The sequence below is a fragment of the Homo sapiens genome, chromosome 10, assembly GCF_000001405.40.
Source record: "Homo sapiens chromosome 10, GRCh38.p14 Primary Assembly".
In the NCBI taxonomy this organism is placed as follows: Eukaryota; Metazoa; Chordata; class Mammalia; order Primates; family Hominidae; genus Homo; species Homo sapiens.
The window spans coordinates 48549914-48572525 of NC_000010.11; the positions used below are offsets into that span (position 1 = coordinate 48549914).

Genomic DNA, 22612 nt, shown 5'->3' on the forward strand with positions numbered 1-22612 from the left:
AGCTTGAGAACCACTGCCCGACACCATTCTCCTGCCACAGAGGACAACTTTTCATTCTGGCAGAAAGCTTAACCTCCTGTTGCTTCCAATCCTTACATTAAATTCAGTTACCTATGTGCTGAGCGCCTTGGAACTAAGGTGTGAAGGAGACACACAGACCCCGTGCCCACTGTGCTTGCCCATTGCTGCTTCTGCCCAGCTGCTCTCCCTGATTCTTCACCTGGCTGACTCTCACTTAACCTTCAAAGAGCAGGGTCGTTGTCACTTTATCCTGGAAGTCCCATGCACTCCCTGCGTGCATTAGGGTCCCCTCCTCCAGGCTCACACAATTGCCTTTTTACTCTCCTCCTAGCCTTTCTCATCCTGTGAGTCAATGTCTGCCTTCCTGCCTGCTTCCTGAACTTGTTAATTCTGTGAGGGTAGGAAGGTGTCTTTCTTACTCCAAGGTAACAGATCATTATACAGAATGGCAGGACTACTGACTGTTCACCAAACCAGCCTTGCCTTCCTCCTGGAAAGAGGTGGACTCCATTTCCCAGACTCTCTTGCTCCGAGGTGTAGCCATGCAACTGCATTCTGGCCAATGGGCTGTGACGGGATGATGGGGCCACTTCCAGGCCTGGACCAACACATCTCCCAGGCATGATGGCCTCCTAGCATGGAAACAACTAGGATACTTTTGCAAGCCACAGGTTTCAGATGGCGAAACCATGAAATAGGAAGATGCTGGGAGATCAACTGCCTGCCAATCACAAGTGTTCATTTTTGACTTTATATGAAAGACAAATACATTCTTGTGTCAAGATCCTGAGATTTGGGGGTTATTCCAGCAGTTCACTTACCCTAATACAAAAAAGCTAAGCTCACTGGAGAATAAACATGAAATGGTTTTACTTTCCCAATAACTATGCCTATCACTTCCTACCTTCCCTTTGAGTCGTTGCTCACTTGGTGATTTTCCCAGGGTCCAGAGTGTGTGCCACTCTTAGTTATTCTAACAGTCTCATTAAGGATCTCTCCAATCCTTAATTCTGTTCCCTCACATCTGGTTCAAAGCTCTTTTTGTGCTGCTCCCCCAGCACTGTGGCCCTCACGGACTGGGGTGTGCTGGCATAGATAGGGGTTGCTTCTCCTAGACTCTTCCCTGAACTGCACCCTGGGCACTGGGGTGGGAAGGAGGCAGAGGGGAAATGTAGACCTTTCTTTGCTTGCCAGGCAAGGTTGCAGTTCCCTCCCTGGTGGACGGTGTTGTGAACTGGGGCAGGGGCACCCTCCCAACCAGCTCCTCTGGGCACTGGGGATCTGTTGTGCGTTCTGACCTCAAATCTCAGCTGACTTCCTGCAGGTGGCATCTTGCCTGTCTGCCCTGCACTATGAGAATTCTAGAAAGTCTGAGGGCCCATGTCATCCTCTTTTCTCCATCAGTGCCCAGGCCTGTGGTCCCACAGAGGCTTCACATTCTGCTCCTCTTGAGAACTGGATGCTTACGGCAGGAGGTGTGCCTGGCAGAACCCCATTTGCCATCAGTCCTCAGTCAGATTTTCCTTGCCTGGGTAACCATGAAAAGCAAATCTTGTGTGTAAGCAACTGTCCAAGCAAGACACAAATGCCAGTCACCCTTTCTCTCAGCCTCCCTTAAACTTTATAAGTGGTTTTCCTGCGTGTCCCCGCAGCTTCAGGGAGGAGACCGTCACCTCTGCCCAAAGCAATTGCTCCCACCTCTCAGTACGCTTTATATACTGACCATGTCGGGAAAGCAGTGGCAGGCCACAGCCACAAGAGGACAGAAGTCCCACTGGCACTAAAGCCCCCTTATAAGAGTGTTTTCTCTGTGTCTTGCTCAGTGGCTGGATGTGCAGGTTCTCAGGTGCTTTTGGAACCAGAGGTGTATGCTGTATCAAGTTCCAAGACCTCCCAGCCCAGATGGGAACAATGCTAGAATCTGTAGGAGGCCCCATATGGCCAGATGTCTGTGTTGGAGGGCAATTTTAGTGTGTGGCTTTGGAAGCCAGATGGCTTGGCCTCAAGCTCCACTCCTATCTAGCTGTGCTGGCTGAAAGGCTGGGGGTGGGCAACAGGGCCTGCACTTTCTGGCCCAGAACTGGCAGATCTCTCCACTAGATGGCACTCACAGTATAATGTTTCCTCATTTTTAATTCTACTTTGAAAACATTGTCATTTTTTATACCGTTGAATTGCACAAATAGAACTATGGCTTAAAATTTACGTAGTTAATTCTAGGCATGACCTTCCTTGGAATTCTGTCACATTTCCAAGAGTTGTCAAGTTTTTCCCCCTCTTGGGGGTGCTGGTTGGAGAGTGAGGGACCCATTGTGGTGTGACCAGTACCACAGGCCAGCACAGGCATAGCCTGGAAGTGATCCGGGGTTTGTCCTCCTTCCTCATATCCTGCCCTGATTTCCTGGCCTAGGCCCAGACCCCAGGCGGGGCTGTTAGGCTCCTTCCTGCGCCTGTTAGTTCACTGCTCACAGAGCCTGCCACCTGGCACCCTCGGAACTGTAGGAGAAGCCCCTTGTCCCCCCAGATGCACTTGCCACCCTTCACCCACCCAGCCTGGATTTCCTCTTGGTCTTTGCACATTTACCCCGGGGGCTGTGCTTGGTGCACACTGGCATGGCCCACTTGGTGATACTTCCTGCTCCTGCCCCCAGGTAACTGTGCTCAGCCTAGTGAGGATAAGTCCTTATTGTGCCTTGAGCTCAGGAAGAAAATGTCCCCAGACTCCCTAATGGCAGAGACTGACCCCTGCTCATCTCAGGGCCCTGCAAGGCTGGCTCAAAGCTGAGGTCACACGAGAGGTTTGCTGAGTTGGATGTGAATGGGTTTCTTGGCCTTCCTGTGACTGCACGTTGCTGTGGTTTAAGGTGGGTTCATCCAATCTTCTTATTCGTTTTTAGCCCCAACATGGCCTATAGCTGAAGCCTCAGTCAGCAACTGCTGTAACAGGAAGCCCACCCTTCTGGGGTCAGGCTGACCTGGGAGGGTCCAGGCTCCTGTACCTGCCAGCTGTTTGGCCTCAGGAGATTCACCTTACCCCTCTGGCCTGACATCTTCATGGGCTGTGAAGGATGGGGAGCTTTGCCAGCTGCAGCCAGAACCAAGCATGAGCTTCGAGTGCAGCCTCCCAGGTCCCATCTGAGCAGGCTGATAGGAAGCATCCTAAATCCGGAGCCCCCAGTGGGAGGGGAGCAGAGGGGACCACTCTTGGGCCCCGGGCAGCACTGGCATTGTGCTCTGCTCTGCAGATAGCTGCGCCGCACTCTGCAAAGGCTGACTGGACCGCTCACCGCCCACCACCCGTCCCGCTCTCCCTGAACTGCTCAGCAGCTGCACAAAGGCTGGAGGGCAGAGATGGGCAGCTCTGGGGAGCAGCTCGCAGGATCTGCAGGAACCTGATGCGCAGGCAGGCTACTGCTGCTGTGCTTGAGACAAAGGAGTTCAGGAACTTTCCTTCCCATAACAAAGTCCTTAGGCCCAGGTGGGGAAAATGCTAGAATCTGTAGGGGTCCTCAGATGGCCAGATGCCTGTGTTGGAGGGCAAGGTAAGTGTGTAGCCCAGAATGTCTGGGCTGAAGCCCCAACTCCGCCACTAGCTGTGTGTCTCTCTGGGGATTCTTTCTAATCTCCACGGTCTGTTTTTGTACAATAGGTCTGACGACATTCCCTATCTTAGAGGGATGTTGGGAGTATTGTGGGAGGCAGAATAATGGTCCTCAAAGATGTCCATCTTCTAATTTCTGGAACCTTGTGACTATGTTACCTTATATGGCAAAGGGTCTTCTCCTACCGCCCCCAACACCCCCAACACCACTGGCAAGAGTCAAATAAATTCTTGTAAATAGCTCTGACCCAGATAATGAACATGCACACAGGTGATGTCCCTTATCTGGCCTATGGAGCACACACTCAGTGCCTTTCTGAATTGATGGCTGGAGTGTGTTGACCTCTACCTTCTAGTTCTGGCCTTGAGTCACTACCCCTGTCCCCAGAGCCAGGGGCCACACCCCTCGCCTAGATGGCAGGGCCCTGCCTACGTCACTACTTGCATTTCTTCTCTATCTGAATAGCTGAGGCCTTTTCTCCTGGTTCCACAGTCAACCTCTGTTTTCTACTCCATACCCCAGGATCCCTTTGTTACCACCTTCTGATGTGCAGTTTTACCACAAAGATTCTTGCATTAGATGAAAAGGAATACCCAAGTGAAACCATAGGTACTTGAATTTTGCACAGGCGCGTATAGTTGGAAAGGGTGTTTCTGCACTTCAACTTTTGCCTGTGCCCCTGCGAACTCTGGTATGGACAGGACAAAGGTAGACATGCCCCTATCCCAGGCAGGATCTTCTCATACCTGTTCCCAAAGAGCCTCTACTCATGGCCTGAGCCTGGGGTGCTCCCTCAGTGGACAGCCAATAGATCATTTCTCAGGGTGGCTGGGGTGGCTTTACTGCTTTGCGACCAATCATAGATTTACTGGTTCACTGGGCCACAGTGAGGCCCTAGCACACTCAGTTCACAGCCACCACTTCCCAGGATGTCTAAATTCAGCTGACACTCTTGGTACCCTTCCCAGACTCCTCAGCACTCACTGTTCCCATCACGCTGCCAGTGGTCTCCTTCCTCAAGCATCTGCAACTGTCCCTGAAGGCTGTCTCTGTCTGCAGAGTTTTGTCCATGTGAGGGTAGGCTAGAAATGTCGGTTACTCCCCAGAAAGCAGTTCTCAAGGACTTGGGGGGTGGGAGTGGGTGGGTAGAGCCCCAGCCTCACTTCTTGGATGAGACCCCTCTGAAGCCTGTTCTGCACTGTGTCCAGAAGCCCCTGTGGGAACTGAGCTAGGATGCCTGCAGCAGCAACCCACTCACTAGCATGTCTGGGCTGGCTTTCTTCCCTTCTCTGACTCCCTTCCTCATGCCAGATCCTTGTCTCAGGCTCTGCTTCTAGGGGAGGCCAAGCTAAAGAAAACACTGGCTGACAGCAGAGCCGGCCCTGCCATGTACACTGGCTTCTCTGCAAGGCACTTTTACTTAGTGCATTAACAACGACATTGTCAAACTTGGAAGTTTAAAATATTGTTTTGTAACTGCTAACGTGACAGTAGAGCAGTTCTTTAGGAAAATTATTCCCCTTCCTCCTGCCACATCCCAATTCTCTGCCTTGGAATTTATAATCATCCTTACCTAAATATTCTTGATCTGTGCTAGTGTTTTTCCCTGGCTTTATTTCCAGGTATTGTGTTTAGATTTTCACCCTGAGATGTTCCCATTGACTAATTTCTTTCCTTGCATTTATCGTGAATTTAAAAATCCTCGTTTCGCATTACCCAAAAGCTCATTGTCCAGATAATTGATGGGACTTTCTAATTTCTTCCCCATGTGAGTATGCTGTCGATTTGGCCCACATTTCCGAGTCATGCCTGGAGACTGTGCTGTGGCTCCTGCGGGAGGAGTGTCACGAAGGTCTGCCCTTCCCAGGCCAGGGGCATGGCAACACCCCCACCAGGGCTGCAGAGCTGGAAGGTGCTCAGGCCTACCTGGGCTGATCTCAAAGAGGTGCTTCCCTGGGTCCTCGGGGCCAGGAGGAAGTTCAGTCACCTGTGTCCCTTGTAGAGAAATAAATCCCTAAAAAGGAGGCAAACACAAACACAGGGAGCATGAGATGATGGGGAGGGGACTGCTGTCGTCAGGGTCCCTGGAGAGGAGAGGTTAGGACCTGGGGCCCTCCAGGCCATGGCTGGGAAGGCTGGGCCTCAGAGAGGGGCACACACCTCCTCTCCTAGGGAGAGATGAGGCCTACTCAGAGTCCCAGGTGGATTAAGGTGGACACTGTAGTCTGCATACATGATTGGAGGAGCTCTGCCCACAGGCAGGGGGAACTCTGGAGCAGGGAGGGAGGCTCCCACCACTGGGAGCGCCTGATCCAGTGTGCCACCTAAGCCTTTCTGGGCCAGCAGGGTTTCAGGCTGGACAGGGTCAGGGAGAAGCCTGGCACTCTGGCTCCTGAGGCAACATGGGGGAAAGGATCAACAGATCTGTGTGCGTCCAGTCCTGCCACGTCTTGGCTGGGTGAGATTTCATTTCTTTACCAATGAGATAGGAGTCAGTTACCATGTACATGGTACCCCACTACAGAGAGTGCCAGGTGCCTGGGGTGCATGTGTATGCATGACAGAGGGCGGCTCCACCTGCTCTCTAGTGCTGAGGTCTGGCAGCTGGGCTGAAAGGTGCAGAAAAAAAGCATGAGGTATAGGGACGGGGAGGCTGGCTTTGAGTCCCAGCCTTGCACTTCCAGGCTGTGTGACCTCAGGTAACCCGCTCAATGTCTCTGAACCTCAGTTTCCACATCTGCACAATGGGACATGTCTCAGGAGGGTCGAGATGCCAGATTCCCATGTGGTAAGTCCTACTCAAGAGAATGAGGTGTTATAACCGCTGTGATTGACCCTTCCCCAACCCCCAGGCTAGGCAGGGCCTCCTTTATCCTCCTTCTGTATGTCAGTGACTATGAGCTGTGCTGAGGCCTTTATTTCATTCATGCTTGGTTTTGCTCAACTCAGACTTGGTATGGCTTCACTACATATTTTTGGTCCTCTCAATGGGAAACGCATTTTGAACTCCATCCCTGCAACCAACTACCTGGGTTCAAATCCTGGCTCAGCTACAGGAACATTGTTCAACCTGTCTGTGCCCCAGTTTCCTTGTCTGTGAAACAGGAATAATAAAGTACTTTGTAGGGATATTTGGAGCATCAAATGAATTAGTACTTGGAAGTTCTTAGTACTTAGTACTGGTACACAGTGAGAACTGTGTAAGTGTTTGCTAAATAAATGCCTGCTATTATTGTATATAAGGGCTCCACACCTAGTGGGGCACCGCATCCCTGTGTCTGCATTTACCCAGGTGAGGGGCAAAGTCACCTGCTGTATCCAGGTCGCCTCCTGCCTCTACCCCCATGTGTACTCACAGAGTACACACCCCCAATATTTTCCAGGCAAATCCTGGCTTTCACAGGGTGATGGGAGCCTCCCATGTGCTGCTGGAATCCTGCGCTCCAAGGACACATGGAAGTGACTCTTCTCATTTAAGCAACGTTAATGTGGAAAGGCAGAACATCGTCCTTACCCGCAGATGCTTGCTTTAGAGGAATTACAGCAATAAACCAGAGAACCAGCTGGTAATCTTTGTAACTGAATTGATGGTTACTTTCTTGCTAGAGAACTTGGAGCTACTGGAAATACATTAGGATAGCAGCCCCAGGATGGAGAAATGTGCTCATTAGAGGGTGTGGGTGAGATCCATCACTGGCTAACGGGATGCATCTTGGGCGTTTGCTGTTTCAGTAACAGAGTCCCTGTGTCATTCTAGGTACTTTGCTGTTTTTTTTCCTGTGTCCCAAAATCTGTCATCCGTACAAGGAGAGTAACAATATTGACATTGACATTGCTTTCTACTATAGCTAAATGGAAAAGCAGTAATAGCTTCTGTTTATAAAGACTGTACTATATTCCTGGCTCTTTGCCTAAATTACTGGATTTAATGTAGAGACCCCAGAGGGGTAGACACTACCATTCCTGTCTTCCCAGACAAGCAGACAGAGGTCAGGAAGGTGATGCAACCAGCCCTGTGCCCACCGCCCACAAGGGTGTGCTGGGGACGTCAGCTCAGGTGTGCCCAATGCTGGAGCCCCAGGCTTTACTCTTTGCTTCCCTATCTTTATCATGGCAGCCACCAACTGACTTTGTTTGCAAGAAGCCACCGTGGAGAGCCAGGCTGTGACTGTGGGATCTGCTGCTCACTTCTCAGGGGAATCCCAGTGTGCCCCCCACCACTGCAGGGGCCCTAGCACTGGCCCTCGGCTGCCCAGATTCCTCTGCCTCCCACAGGTCAAGAATGTGGCTCTGGGACTGGGTGGGGGTTGGGGGCCTGGGGAGCAGAGGGAGTCTGCTCTCTGGTCCCTGGTATGACATTTGCTAAGACTGTGATGAAAAGATGTGAATGGAGTCAGAACATAGCATTCAGCTGAGACACTCAGGGTAGGTCTCAACTTTGAACGTGCCTTGGAGTCACCCCAGGGCTTGTTAAAACACAGAGAGTCTGGTGTTTTGGTGGTGTTTAACAATGGGGTCTCTGAAAACTATAAAGTACCTGGATTTGGAGTGTTTGCTAACTTCAGTGATATAAATGCCCTCCCCCTCCATGGCCCATTTTATGACATCATTGCATGTGGAGCTGAGAAGAGATGCACCATAGTGTTTGCACCACATGGATGCAATGGATGTCAGTAACCTCCAGAGCTTAAGACATAGTACGTGAAGTCATAGTACATTAAGTTAGGAAATGATATATTTTGAATACTTTTTAACCTTTGTTTTTACTATAACTTATTTATCAGTAGATTTTTGCGATTTAATGTTTTTTTTTTGTTTTTTTGTTTTGTTTTGTTTTGTTTTGCTTTTTTGGGTCTTGCTCTGTGGCCCAGGCTGGAGAGCAGTGTTGCGATCATGGCTTACTGCAGCCTCTACCTACCGGGCTCCAGTGAGCCTCCCACCTCGACCTCTATTTGGGACCATAGGTGTATGCCACCATGCCTAGCTAATTTTTGCTATTTTTTAATTTTCAGTAGAAACGGGGTTTCCCTATCTTCCCCATGCTGGTCTCGATTTCCTGGGCTCAAGCAATCTTCTTGCCTCGGCCTCCCAAAGTGTTGGGGTTACAGGTGTGAGTCACACCACCCAGCCTGATTCAATTTCTAATAATGTAAGTGTTCAATCAGAATAGTGCTGGACCCCACCCTTGAGTTTCTAACCCTATAGGTCTGGGGAAAGTAGGACCATTTGCATTTCTAACCATTTTTCTGATGCTGAGAGCCCTGGGGAATACACTTTGAGAACCACTAGTCTAGGGACACTAAAGGAAGGTGGCCAGAGGATGACACCTTTTACATGAGCTCACTCAGCACCTTGGTTTCCTTACCTAGAAAATGAGGACAATAATAGTATCTGCTTCATGAGGCTGTCGTGAGGATTAAATGATTTGATATCTGGCCCCATGGCCTTTGAGAGCCTGTGTTTTGCCAAGATTCTGTGCTTTAGACGCATGCAGGTCACAAGAACCAGTACCTGTTTCTGGCACCTCAGACAGTGCCCTCAACTATGAGGGTCCTGGGAATTCTTTGAGGAGCGCAAAGTGAGTGTCAGCACTTTGCCAGCTGGCCTTCCTACTATAGTGCCAGGTCAGGGCTTAAGTGTTTGTATCTCAGAAGGAACCAGGCACACAGTTTGCACCTAGAACGGCAGTTTGCAGACGGGCACCTAGGTACAGAAAGAGTGTGCAAACTCCAGGCACATGATAGATTTCCACAAATGTTGGGCCCTTTCCCCCTTCCCCATGTGTCCGAGCTCATGTTAATTTGCTCTGTTAGGGAATTGCTCAGCCTATGTATCTAAGTTCCTCCTGAGAGGCTGCAGCTGACTTAATGCATCTCTAGCGCCATACAAATGCAGTCCATTGGTGTAAGTAGCTAATGGACAAAGGATGTGCCATTTTGTCTGCATCTAGGAGGGCTCAGTATTTGCAAGTTTTAGACATTGCAAAATTGCTTTCAAAAAGTCTTTATCAAATTATGTTTCATCAAAAGTGTATGAGAATGCCCATTTCTGTATGCTGTTCCCATTGCATGGTCATTAAGTGCTGATTGTCCTTTTAAATGGAGAATCTTATGACATATTTATTGACCATTTGTATTTCTTCTATTAATTCCTTGTTAACATCCCTTATCCACTTTTCTATTGGGTTGTCTTTTATTTTAACAATATATTTTATTTAACATATTTATTTATATTGGATAACCCAATATGTCAAAAAATCAGCATTTCAACAAGTAATCAATATAAAATTATTAGTGAAATAGTTTACATCTTTTATAGTAAATCTTTGGAATCTACTTATAGCATATCAGATTTACATTGCAAGTTTTTATCAAATATATGTGATCTGTATTTCGATCTTATCAAATTTGAAGTAGATTCATGTACCCAAATTGTTTCAGATATACTGTAGTAGGTAGAATAATGGCTCCCCAAAAGATATGCCTGTCCTAATCCCTGGAACATGTGAATATGTTATGCTACATGACAAACATTTAATTAAGGTTGCAGATAGAATTAAGTTTGCTAACCATCTGATCTTAAATCTAGTAGTATTAGAACTCCAACTTAATTATTCTATTTCAAAATTGTCTGGCTATTCTAGGCCCTTTAAATTTCTATATGAATTTTAGAATCAGCTAGTCAATTTCTATTAACAGAAAAATGCCTACTGGGATTGTGATCGGGATTGCATAGATCAATTTGGGGAGAATTGACATCCTAACAATAATAAGTCTTCTGACCAATGAACACAGTATAACTCCTCATTTATTTAGAGCTTTCATTTTCCCCAACAATAATAACTCATTTTTTACTTCAGTAGATTTTTGCAGGCTTCATCAGATTTTTGACATAAACAATTATGTTGGGTATGGATACAGTTTTACTTCTTCCTTTCCAATGTGAACAACTTTCATTTCTTTTTCTTGCCTTATTACACCAGGCAGGACTCCATGAAAGTGTTTTATGGAAGTGGTGAGAATAAATATCATTATCTTTATCCTGATCATAGGGAAACAGCTTTTAGTCTTTCACCATAAAGTATGATATTAGCTTTCAGTTTTCCATAGATGGCTTTTCACAGGTTTAAAGAAGCTCCTTTGTATGCCTGGTTTGTTGAGAATTTTTATCAGGAAGCAATATTGAATGCTGTCAGATGCTTTTTCTGAATCCATGAGATGATTATTTTTTCTCTTTCTTCATTTATTAATATGATGAATTACATTAATAATTTTCAAACATTAAATCAACCTTGGACTTTTGGGATAAACCCCACTTTGTCATTATGTATTTTCTTTTTTATGTATTGTTAGATTCAATATGCTAAAATTTGGTTGAAAATTTTTTCAACTAAGTTCACAAAGAATATTGATCTATAGTGTCTTTGTCTTGTAATGTCTTTGGCTAGATTTATATAGGGGTAATGCTAACCTCATAAAATACATTGGAAAGTATGCTCATTCTGAAATAGAATAATCAAGTTGGAGTTCTAATACTACTTGATTTCAAGACATTGTAAAGCTACAGTAACCAAAACAATGAGATATTAGCATTAAAATAGACAGATTAATGAAACAGAATAGAAAGATCAGAATAGACCCACATATACCTCCATATCTATCTATCTGTCTCCATATATGGATAATTGATTTTGACAAAGGTGTAAAGGCAATTCATTGGAGAAGATATTGTTTCAACAAATGATGGTTGAGCAACTGCATATTTGTGTGCAAAAAAATGAATCTCAATTCATACCTCACACCATATATAAAAATATACTCAAAATGAATGATATACCTAAACACAAAATCTGAGACTATAAAACTTCTAGTAGAAAACCTTTATGACTTTGGATTAGACAAAGAGTTCTTGGATACAACATCAGAAGCTTGACTCAAAAAAGAACTAATTGATAAATATGACTCATTTAAATTAAAAAAACTGCTTTTCAAACACATTAAGAGAGTGAAAAGACAAATTACATACTAGGAGAAATATTTGAATATCATGTATCTGATAAAGGACTTGTACCCAAAATATATAAAATACCATCAAAATTCTATAATAAGGTAACAATCCAATTTAAATAAAGAGGCAAAAGATTTAAACAGATAATTACTATAGAAGATATAGGATTGGAAGATAAGCTCATGAGATGATCTTCAACATCATTAGTAGTTAGGAAAATGCAAATTAAACCCATAATTGGATACCACTACATATCTATTAGATAAAGTAAAAAGACTGACCAGACTAAGTGTTGGTGTGGGTGCAGAGGACCGAGAATTCTTATACACTGTTGGTGGTAATGTTAAACGACAATCACTTTGGAAAACAGTTAAGCAGACTCTTAAAAGAGTTAAACATACTGCCCGGAGCAGTGGCTCACGCCTGTAATCCCAGCACTTTGGGGGGCCGAGGTGGGCAGATCACGAGGTCAGAAGTTCGAGACCAGCTTGACCAATATGGTGAAACCCTGTCTCTATTAAAAAATACAAAAATTTGCGGGGTGTGTTGGCACGTGCCTGTAGTCCCAGCTACTCAGGAGGCTGAGGCAGAAGAATCTCTGGAACCCGGGAGGCAGAGGTTGCAGTGAGCTGAGATCGAGCCACTGCACTCCAGCCTGGGCAACAGAGCAAGACTCCATCTCAAAAAAAAAAAAGAAAAAAGAGTTAAATACACACCTGGGATACGACCCAGCCATTCCGCTCCTACATATACCCAAGAGAAATGGAAGCATATTTCCCTACAGAGATTTGTATGCAAATCATTGCAGTTTTATTTCTAATATCCAAAAATTTGCTATAATGCAAATGGCCTTCACCAGGTAAATGGATAAGCAAATTGAGGTACCTGCATACAGTGCAATACTACCCAGCAATATGAATGAATGAACTCTTAATGCACGCTGCAACATGGATGCTTCTCTAAATAATTATGCCATGGGAAAGAAGACAGACAACAAGCCAGAGTACATACTGTGTGATTCCATTTCTATAAAAGTGTAGAAAATGAGAACTAAGCGGATCAGCCTGGGGTCAGGGGTCAGGAGGGGCAAAGGGAGTGGGAGGAGGGATTACAACAGGATACAAGGAAGCTTTTGGCAGTGATGGATATGTTTGCTGCCTTGATTGTGGTGATAGTGTCACAGATGCACATCTATATTAAGACTTACCAAACTGTGCCCATGAAATATGTGCAGTTCATTGTATGTCAATTATACCTCAATAAAGCTGTTAAGAAAAACTGAATTTGATTCAGTTATCAAAAAACTTTTAGAAATATGTATTTGTTTCCTAACAGATTACTAAAAATGTAGCGGCTCAAAACAACAAAAATTTATTTTCTTACAGTTCTGGAGGTCAGAATTCTGCAATGGGCCTTACTGGGCTATAGTCAATAGCTGGCACGACTGTTCCTTCTGGAGCTCTAGGGCAGGATCTGTTTCTCACTTTTCCAGCTTTTAAAGTCTTCCTGCACCCTTCCACCATCTTCGAAGCCAGCAGCCTCACATCTTCAAATCACTCCGACTCTGACCTCTTTGTCTGCCTCCCTTTCCACTATAAAGAACTCTTATGATTATATTAGATCCACTTGGATAATCCAGGATAATTTTTTTTTTTTTTTTTTTTTTTTGAGACGTATTCTTGCTCTGTGCCCCAGGCTGGAGTGCAGTGGCGCAATCTTGGCTCACTACAAGCTCCGCCTCCTGGGTTCATGCCATTCGCCTGCCTCAGCCTCCCCAGTAGCTGGGACTACAGGCGCCCACCACCACGCCTGGCTAATTTTTTGTATTTTTAGTGGAGATGGGGTTTCACCGTGTTAGCCAGGATGGTCTCGATCTGACCTCGTGATCCGCCCGTCTCGGCCTCCCAAAGTGCTGGGATTACAGGCGTGAGCCACCGCACCTGGCCAATCCAGCATAATTTCTTTAAGGTCAGATGGTTAGCAACCTTAATTCTATCTGCCACCTTAATTAAATGCTTGCCATCGTAACATAACATATTCACATGTTCCAGGGATTAGGACAGGCATATCTTTCGGGGAGCCATTATTCTACCTTATACTACAGTAGACTACAGTATATCTGAAACAAGTTGGGTATGTGAATCTACTTCAAATGTAGATTTGATAAGATCTAAATACAGATCACATATATTTGATAAAAACTTGCAATGTAAATCTGATATGCTATAAGTGGATTCCAAAGATTTGCTATAAAAGATGTAAACTATTTCATTAATAATTTTATATTGATTACTTGTTGAAAGGCTGATTTTTGGACATATTGGGTAATCCAATATAAATAAATAAAATATGTTGTTAAAATAAAAGACAACCCAATAGAAAAATGGGTAAAGGGTGTTAACAAGGAATTAATAGAAGAAATACAAATGGTCAATAAATTTGTCATAAGATTCTCAATTTAAAAGGACGGTCAGTACTTAATGACCATGCAACAGGAAGAGCATACAGAAATGGGCATTCTCATACACTTTTGATACATAATTTGATAAAGACTTTCTGAAAGCAATTTTGCAATGTCTAAAACAACTTTAAAATAAAATGTCCTGTAACCTTGTATTGAATTTTAAGAATTTGTTCTAAGGAAAAACAAATGCACAAAAATGGATGCATAACAATCCTCAATGTAACATTTTTTACTACACAAAATGAGAAATGACTTGTTCATCTGTCAACAGAGGAACGGTTAAATCATTTCTGGTAAGGCCATACCAGAATGAGGTACATACAAAAGGTTTCTAAGATGAATTGCTAAGAAATAAGAACACCAGAAAAATAATTTTAATACAATTCCATCCCAGTGTCTGTTACTGTCCTCTCCCCAGAGCCCACAAGTTACATGTTAATGTATAGAAATAGCACAGAAAACTTACACTCTGGGAGGGAGTGGTGGGAATGGTGAAGGAGCTTTCATGTTTTGCCCTATAATGTTTGCATCAACGTAAAATTTAAACAACGTTAAAGTTGAAATGGAAAGCAGTCAGCTAATTCATGCAGCACTGCCCATGCCCTACTCACGGGCTGCTGCCATCTGACTACCATCATACTCTCCGACCTCATGTGCTGGGGCCAGGCCAGCCTGCACAGTGTTTCTGCAGCCCAGAATGCCCATCCATCATTTTCAGGAAACAAAGAGTGATTTCCCTCTCTCTTCTGCAAGCATTTAGGGTGACAGTCCCCTCAAGCTTCCTCAGACTGAAATAAAGTGGCAAGTACTTTCCAGGTCCTCTGATCAGGGTCTGCACACATCCCTGCCTGCAGGAAGCCCCTGCCCACATCAGGAGACTGCCATAGCTCATTTTGCAAAGAATGATCCGTCTTGGGAACAGCTCCCAGAACACCGGATGGTCTGGAAGCCTCAGCTAAGTCCAGGGGAATAAAGGAGATTAACAACAGCAACAGCGACAATGATTTCTACTGACATGTCTCTAGTCAGATGTCTCACACCCAGAACTCACCCAAATCGTAAAAAGATAAGCACCCATTACATAATAAATCCGAGATCCTGTAAGACTGTCATGGAAACCTCACAGGTTTTAGCCCCAGACAGATCTGGTTTTAATCCTGACTACTGCTTAGTGATAGTAAACTTTGGGACAAGTTTAGCCTCAGTTTCTCTCTCTGTTAAATGGGGTAGTGGCATCTCCCTCACAGATCTCTGAGAATTAAACGGGATCAAGTGAGCAGAAGGTGTGGAATGGAGCTGGGCTGTAGCAGGTACCCAGGATGGCAGCATCCTAAGAAAGGGCAGTGCTGCAGAAGTTTTGTGTGAGCTCATGACTGGGGGTCAGGGTCAGACAGGTCCTCCACCAACCCGGCTGAACCTCCGTTTCCTCCTCTGCAATGTGGAGGTGTTTTGAGGATTTCCCCAGGTTTAGTGCCCAGTAAGAGTAAGTGCTATTGCTGTGATCATGCATTATTATAGGGCCAAGGAGTAGACTCTGTGCATGAACATTTTATAGGAGTGGGAATAGATAGAAACACTTAGAATTATTATAGGGTTTGTAATTACTGTGACATTGCCGCTTAGGTAGAACACAGACAGGTGTGTTCCAGCCTGTTCCACCAGGCTGAGGCCTGGTTTCTTTATGTGTAAAAATGAAGATATTTGTCCCAGATTTGTCACTGGGCCATCTGAGATAGAGCTGTATATACACTAGGGGCCTATATAAATATGAATTATCATAATTATGACTTCAAAACTCATTTTGGTCACTGTATCATTTGTTTGGTCTGTTTGTAGAAACAATCTCCCCTCCCCTAATAATACCATTGCTTGTGCCATGAAATGAGGTGTGAAACAGACTTCAGTAGTCCTAGCATGGTGAAGGCAGGGCCCTGCTTCCTAGTGTGTGATGACAGTCCATGGGGACCTCCTGCAGGGCCCGGGATGTCTGTAATCCTCCTATTGGCCAGCCTTTGGAGTTTGTGACAGTTTGAGGTCTTTGCAGTCTGAATTCAGCTCTTTTCAACATGATCAAAGACTGGCTCTCTGGGAAGTCTTCATTTTTCACCTTGTCTAGGAGACTGCCTGAAGAAACAACTTCTGCAATTCTTTTTACCAAGTCTCCTGATAAAATCCTCCACAGGCAGCATCTTGGAAAATGGCAGGCATGTTTTAGAAAGCAATCGCTCAGGGTTCCCTATCTCTGTTAACTCTGATTGGGGCCTCAGATCAATCTTAAAAACCGTTATCCACCTGACACCCAACCAGGAACTGAATGTCTCTGAGTTGTACATAAATAATACAGATCAGAATGAAGTTCAGTGCCAAGGAGGGAAGCATCCTCCTTGCTTCCTTATCACACAAGCCTGTAACCATGCCCCATGACTGTCCAGAATACAGATTTAAAAAGGCATTGTGAAAATTGGAGATAATTGAGTTCTTGGTAAAGGAACGTTCCCTCCCTAAGGAGTTGAGATACATCATTTGTCCAGCTTCTTTCCTTGCTGATGACTTTCTCTTGAAGCTTCTTCCAACAGATTCCGCAGTAACGCTGCCACCTGTGAACCTGTGAACTCCAAATGCTCTTGTTATGATCCACAGGTCTGCAGTCAGCAGATCGGACCTGGGAACGCCCTGCTTCTTCACTGTGTCATGAGGCTATCCATGGTCCTCTTAGAAAATCTTTAGCACATGTGGTGTGCCACAGGGACAGTGTGTTGAGGTCAGCACCATGTTCTGCAGAGAGCAGGGGCTTTGAACTCAGAACACCGGCTCCCTGCACCCTCCCTATCCCTCCCAACTGGCCACAGCCCCTAAAGCTCTTACTTTCAGTGTTGCACAGCTCAGGCCCTGAGCCTGTGGAAGTCCAGCTGGGAGTCATGAATGAGCCCAGGGCCTGGGGCCTGAGACCTGGGGTAGACTTGCAGCCTAAGCTGGAAACCCTGGTGGAGCCCTCAAGGATCTTCAGGTCTCAGAGCTCATGGCCTCTTCCAAACCCCAGGGAGTGCCCTTTTCAGGGTGAGTGGGTCCTCTTTGCAAAGTTCTGGTTGCTCTGTGGTAAGCCAGGACCTTGCACTAGACTCCGTGCCAAACAGGGTGCCTGTGACTTGCCCTGAGTCACTCCTGGGGTCTACCCCTTCAGGCAGCCTCATCTCACTGTATTCCTGAGCCCTGCAGAAGACCCTGTGGTTGAGGCTGCACTACTGGTCCTCACCCAGTGGCCTTAGGCTCAGCCTCTCTTCCTCTCAGTCTTGTCATTCATGTGAACATTCTAATGCCTGCGACCATGCTCATGGGAATGAGATGCCATGCCACGTTGGGAAGAGTCACTAGTACTAGTGCCCCGGCCTTGGTGGCAGCCCAGGGCTGGGTGCTGAGCAGTGCCACAGGGAAGCAGCAGGATTAATGTGGAAGTGACTAGTGAACAGAATGCTTACCCAGGGGAGCTCTTGAATCCCCTAGTGTTTAGCTTGCCCTGGGAGAAGGGAGGAGAGGCCAAGGTGCACGTGATTTTACAACACATTTGGGGCAGACCATTAGTGTCATCAAATCTCCATGGGCTGCTCTCTGAGTGTCCTTTGTGCTTAGGTTGGGGCCATGGTATGGGGTTCTGGCCAGTGGGATTGGGCAGGAGTGACAGCATCCACTTCCAGGCCTGGTCCTTTAAAAACTGCCAGTGACCTCCAGTCTTCTCTCCTATCTCTCCCCCTGAGTCAACCTTGGTGACCACAGAGACAGATGAGGCCAACATCTGGCCCACCACAGACATTACTACAGTGAGAGGTAAACTTCTATTATGTTTAGCTGCTGGGATCTCAAGGACATTTAACATTGTTCATTTTACTAATTAGATGTTATTTTGAGAAAATAAGTGTTAGAGAATTTTGTCCTTAGCTGATCACCTGGCCACATGAACAAAGAAGTTATAAAATCATAGCACTAATTAAACATCGTATTTCCATGCTGGTAAATCCATTTAACTAATAATGATGATTTCCTTGCTCCATGGATTGGATGTTGGGAAGGAAAAAGAAAGGAGAGGTCAGTCTCATCTACTTTGACTCTGGGGACCTTGGGCTGCTGGGAGCTGTCTTACTCTGATGGTTAGAAGCACTGAGCATGGCATGTCTAGGTTCTGGCTCAAGCTGTGATGGCCGTGTAGTACGCACTTCCTGCCTCACTTTTTGGACTGGAGCATTGGAGGGAGCCCAGAAAAGACTGATCTAGATCACTGTCCAAGAGGGGTTGTGGACCCCATGCCCATTCCTGGCTGAATGACATGTCCTGGGCAGCATGAGATCCTGGGAGTTTGCAAACGACCCTGCTTCCTCCTTGGCTTACTGGACCATATGGTAGGCCTCTTTGCCCCCTGAAGTACCTGGTGTTCCATGTAGAGGGGCTAAGGGGGAAACTCAGATGAGCTGAATCCCTCTGGCTGCCCACGGCATTTGGTGGCTGCATAAGACACTGCAGTTGAGACAGGTATGTTCACAGGGAACCAGCCCTCAGAGGGCACATGCGCTGAGCCTCTCCAGAGGGAGTGACCGCCCACTTTTTAGTATTTTCTCTGATCTGGGACTCAGGTGGATATGGGCATTGACTGCTGCACCATTGTGATGCTCACCGTCTCCGCTGCTCTTCAGAGCCTGCCGGCTGGGTGTGAAACAGCCTCTCCTGTTCCTCCAGAACTGGGAGCTCTTGGTAGGTGCTGCCTGGCCCCCACCCCCACCAGGAAGAGCCCTTGGGGACACAGGGCCTCTCCACTGCCTGGGTTGGCAGCACTGAACCACCGGCCTGCTCTTCCATGCCATGGTCCCTGCCATGTTTTCCAGGGTTGCACAGTGTTTCCAGTCTTCTCTGCCCACGAAGAACAGACCCAGCTACTCAGACTGGGAGCGCTGGTGCTGTCCTGTCTTGTCCTGAGCCTAAGAGCACACTCTTGGAAGATTTTTTTCTGCTCAAAATACACCTTTGGGACATGTTGATGCTGGGTCCAGGGCCCCTCCTTGGAGTGGGTGGGGCCCTCCTTTGGCTGAAAATGGTTTGATTCTGTCTTATTTCTGGGAGGCCCTGAAACTAGTGCTATGCTCTGGGGTATATGGTGTCTCTGTGAGAGAGGCTGCCATGCTGCTTAGTTGAGCACAGGTTAGCCTGAGTAACATGGTATAGACACTTTTGCATTGACCTGCCCTGGCTGTGCCAGGCTGATCTGCTGAGCCAACTGCTGCCAAGGGGCACTGGCTGCATTTTGCTGAGGAAGGCACACCTCATCCCTGTCTTTAGCAAAGGCCACAGTCCATTTGGGAAATGTACCCATCGTCCTCGGCAGCCCTTCCAAACCACCTCCATTATGCTGATCAACTGTAACTCAGTATTCCACCAATGCATTAAGGAGCTAGAATGCTCCAAACACAATGAAACATAAGTTATGCTCTTCTGAACAATGAATAAAATATGTTTCCCATGCTGCTTCAATGTTACTTGATTCATTTTTCTGCCTTGTGATTGATAAAACTCATAATTTAACTATCAGTTTTCTACGTATTACTGTAAATTAACTGGGTTGCAATGAAAGCCAAAGGATTGCTCTATTATAAGTGTGAGACCTTTAAGTGCTGTAAACTAATATCCATGCTGACTTAAATTAGCAGATCCTGAGAGAAGCTCATTACTACCGGTAACACTGGAAGAAACACAAAAGTCATTTTTAGAAGGTGGAGATCCGTCTTGTAGGCAGTATAGCTCTGGGTGCAAAACAATTCGGGGGCAACCAAGACATTGTCACTTGTGATTTATTTGGTCTTGAGGTGTCATCAGGCCTCTTCTAACTTGATTTCCTTTTCCTAGGACAGTAGCAGAATTTTGCTGTCCATACATTAGTCCCCAGACATTGCTGATGCTGTCATTTCAGGGGCCTGCTCTCAGAACCCTGCAGGATGGTATAAAACAAACCTTAAAATGTATTTTGTATGATTACTTAAATCTTGTGTTTTTCTTTGACATGCAGAAAAAATGGTTTTAACTAAATATTGTTTGAAATTTGTTTAAAAACACAGCTGCTACTGCCAATTTCAAGTTAGTAAATAAATTTATATTTGACTTAAAATAACTTGCTTGAATAGAGTTTTCATTTTGATATGTTTAATGTGGGGAATTATGGTTCTAAAATAGCTGCAAAAATACAGCATCCCTTTAAAAAAGCCACAAAGTCTCACAGTTGAATCTAAATAAATGATACCCCTCTCTCTTTTTATGACTCCAATGAGTAATTCTTCACAGAAGAAGCATTTCAAGTTGTCCCCCAGGACATTTTAAAAAAGGAAATATCTGTTGTTGAATTTTTCTTCTGCAGCACTAATGGGAGTGTGAAGCTCAGTTCCTAATTAACTCAAGGTGCTCTCTAACGTGCTGCAGAAGACACTTTTCAATCATCGCTGGCTTATCCTGGGGCAGAGAGGGTCTGAGGGATGCATCAGAGCCTGTCTTTTATGCTCAGGTTTGTTTTTTTCTGAGTGTAGACAGACTGACTGAAATTTGCTGTGGCAAGATCTATGGGAGCAGCTTGGGAGGTAATCAGTTGCTTGTTCTTTTGTGGACAGAGACTTGCAGGTGGGAAGTAGGAAGGAGGGATTGAAGTCAGACTCTTCAGGGCTTCTCAGGAGGTCAGGGGCAAATTCACCAAGAGCAATGAGATCCATGAGTGACCCTATCTTCAAGGGCCCCATGGCATCAAGGTCTGTATCCATCAGCTCTCTTGCCACCAACTGTGTCTCCCCAGAGACCTTCACCTGGCCCAATAGTGGAGCCAGGGTTCCAAACGCTCTGCACGAAACGGCCATTGAGGACTGCCAGGGGTGCCCACAGTGGGACTTCTGGGAAACTGCCCTGCTCTGGCCAGACCTCCAGAGCATGCCTGCTTCTTTGGCCTCGTTTTTGACTCATCTAGGGTGGAACTTCTGAAAACTGCTAGGATTTGGCTGAATGTAGTTCTTTTTCTTCCATTCCTCTTTGCCTTATAAGGTCTCGGATGAACTTTTGACTTTTGGAGTTGAGAGGGCTCTTGGAGATCATTTCTGGCCAACTTGCTACCCAGTGGTCAGCTCTTCTCCAAGCCACTTAATCTACTAATAGTCTGGCCTCTACTTGTCCAGCACCAGGGACTGGAGCCCGCTACCACCCAGTAGACCACTCCATCAGAATGAAGTGTGGAATGGAGTGTAGAAGACAAATCGGGGAGTCTGTCCATTTGTCTTCTGGTCTTGTTCATATAAGGATTCAGAGCTTCATATACTGCCCCTTAGCAAGATTTCTTTTCTCCAGATGACTTATTCAGTTATTCCTCCTATGGACATGAGTTTGGACTCCTCTCCATCCTTGCTGCCCTGTTCTTGAAAATATAGTGCCTTGAGGGGACCGTCACTCTCCAGAAGTGACCTGGTCTGACCATGGAAAAGCTTGGTGGGGCTTCCCCTCCCTTGTTCTAATTTCTATGCATCTTAAGAAAGTCACCTAATCTCTTTGTGCCTCAGTTTCCTTATTGGGACAGTGGTGATAGTACTCATTCCTAAATTGTTTCAATCATCTACTGCTGTGTAAGAAAACTCCAAAACTTATTGCCTACAAAATAGTGATCTGTTATTTGCCATGATACCGTGGCAGGGATCAGTGGATGTTTCTTCTGCTCTATATAGCTTGGTCCAGAGTCACTGACACAGTTGCATTTGGCAGCTGAGCTGGGCTATAAGGTCCAGGAAGGAAGGCCTCACTCATTCATCTAGGCTGTGTGGTTTTTCTCTCATTCACGCTTCCTCATCATTCTGTGGTCCATTCAGACATTCTTACAGAATGGTGGCGGCTTTTCAGAGCAAAGCAGAAACATGCTTGGTTTCTTAGGGATGAGATCTAAAATTAAACTCTAAGGCCCCCACCTGACCAAATAAATACACTCTTGGCCAAGGGGAACCTAGGGAAACCTTAAAAACTGAGTTCCTGGCTGTGATAGGAGGTCAAACATGCCTTGCTACATCCTTCTTCAGTTTAGACACCACATCCGACCAGCAATAATGTTACAGTAGTGATCACACAACTGACTTTATGGCAATAAGATACCAAATTATAAATAAGACCCAAGGCCATTCCAACCAACCAACACTTAAGTCATACACCTGTACACTTAAAGAATAAACAATGTTCTAACTGCCACAGGTTTTTCTTTTTCTCTAGCAGTTAAACAGGCACTAGCCCTAAGAAACAAGTGCTAAAACAATTGTAGTTCACCGTTAGACCTTGACTAACTGACCCCCAACCCCTGGTCCACAAGTCACAACTACAGCTTTGATTGGACAAGAGATGGATGTCAGTAACTTTCTCCTGATAAAAGACCACCAACAATAGGCTGGCTCTGACCAGTTAACAAGAGGCTGCACACAGAGGGCCTTCATGTCCCTGCTTCACCTATTGCTGTATAGGGCCTGCCTGC

General features: G+C 45.8%; 1 protein-coding gene across 25 annotated transcripts in view, besides 1 other annotated feature; it reads right to left on the reverse strand.

The window, feature by feature from the left end:
• Positions 1-22612, reverse strand: part of ARHGAP22 (Rho GTPase activating protein 22) — a 226435-nt gene that overhangs the window by 120083 nt on the left and 83740 nt on the right. For all 25 annotated transcript variants that reach the window (NR_045675.2, NR_144644.2, NR_144646.2 and 22 more), the window contains one exon: positions 5550-5637. Coding sequence is in view for 19 of the 25 variants with exons in the window: in XM_024448100.2 (XP_024303868.1) it covers positions 5550-5637 (88 nt within the window). In the remaining 6 variants the exon portion in view is untranslated. The remainder of the gene's footprint in view (positions 1-5549; positions 5638-22612) is intronic.
• Positions 5529-6029: an enhancer, noted in NCBI's record as "H3K4me1 hESC enhancer chr10:49763487-49763987 (GRCh37/hg19 assembly coordinates)". NCBI's record gives its function as "activates a minimal SCP1, AML or CMV promoter by ChIP-STARR-seq in naive H9 embryonic stem cells {active_cell/tissue: H9 hESC(naive)}" and the evidence as "EXISTENCE:reporter gene assay evidence [ECO:0000049][PMID:30033119]".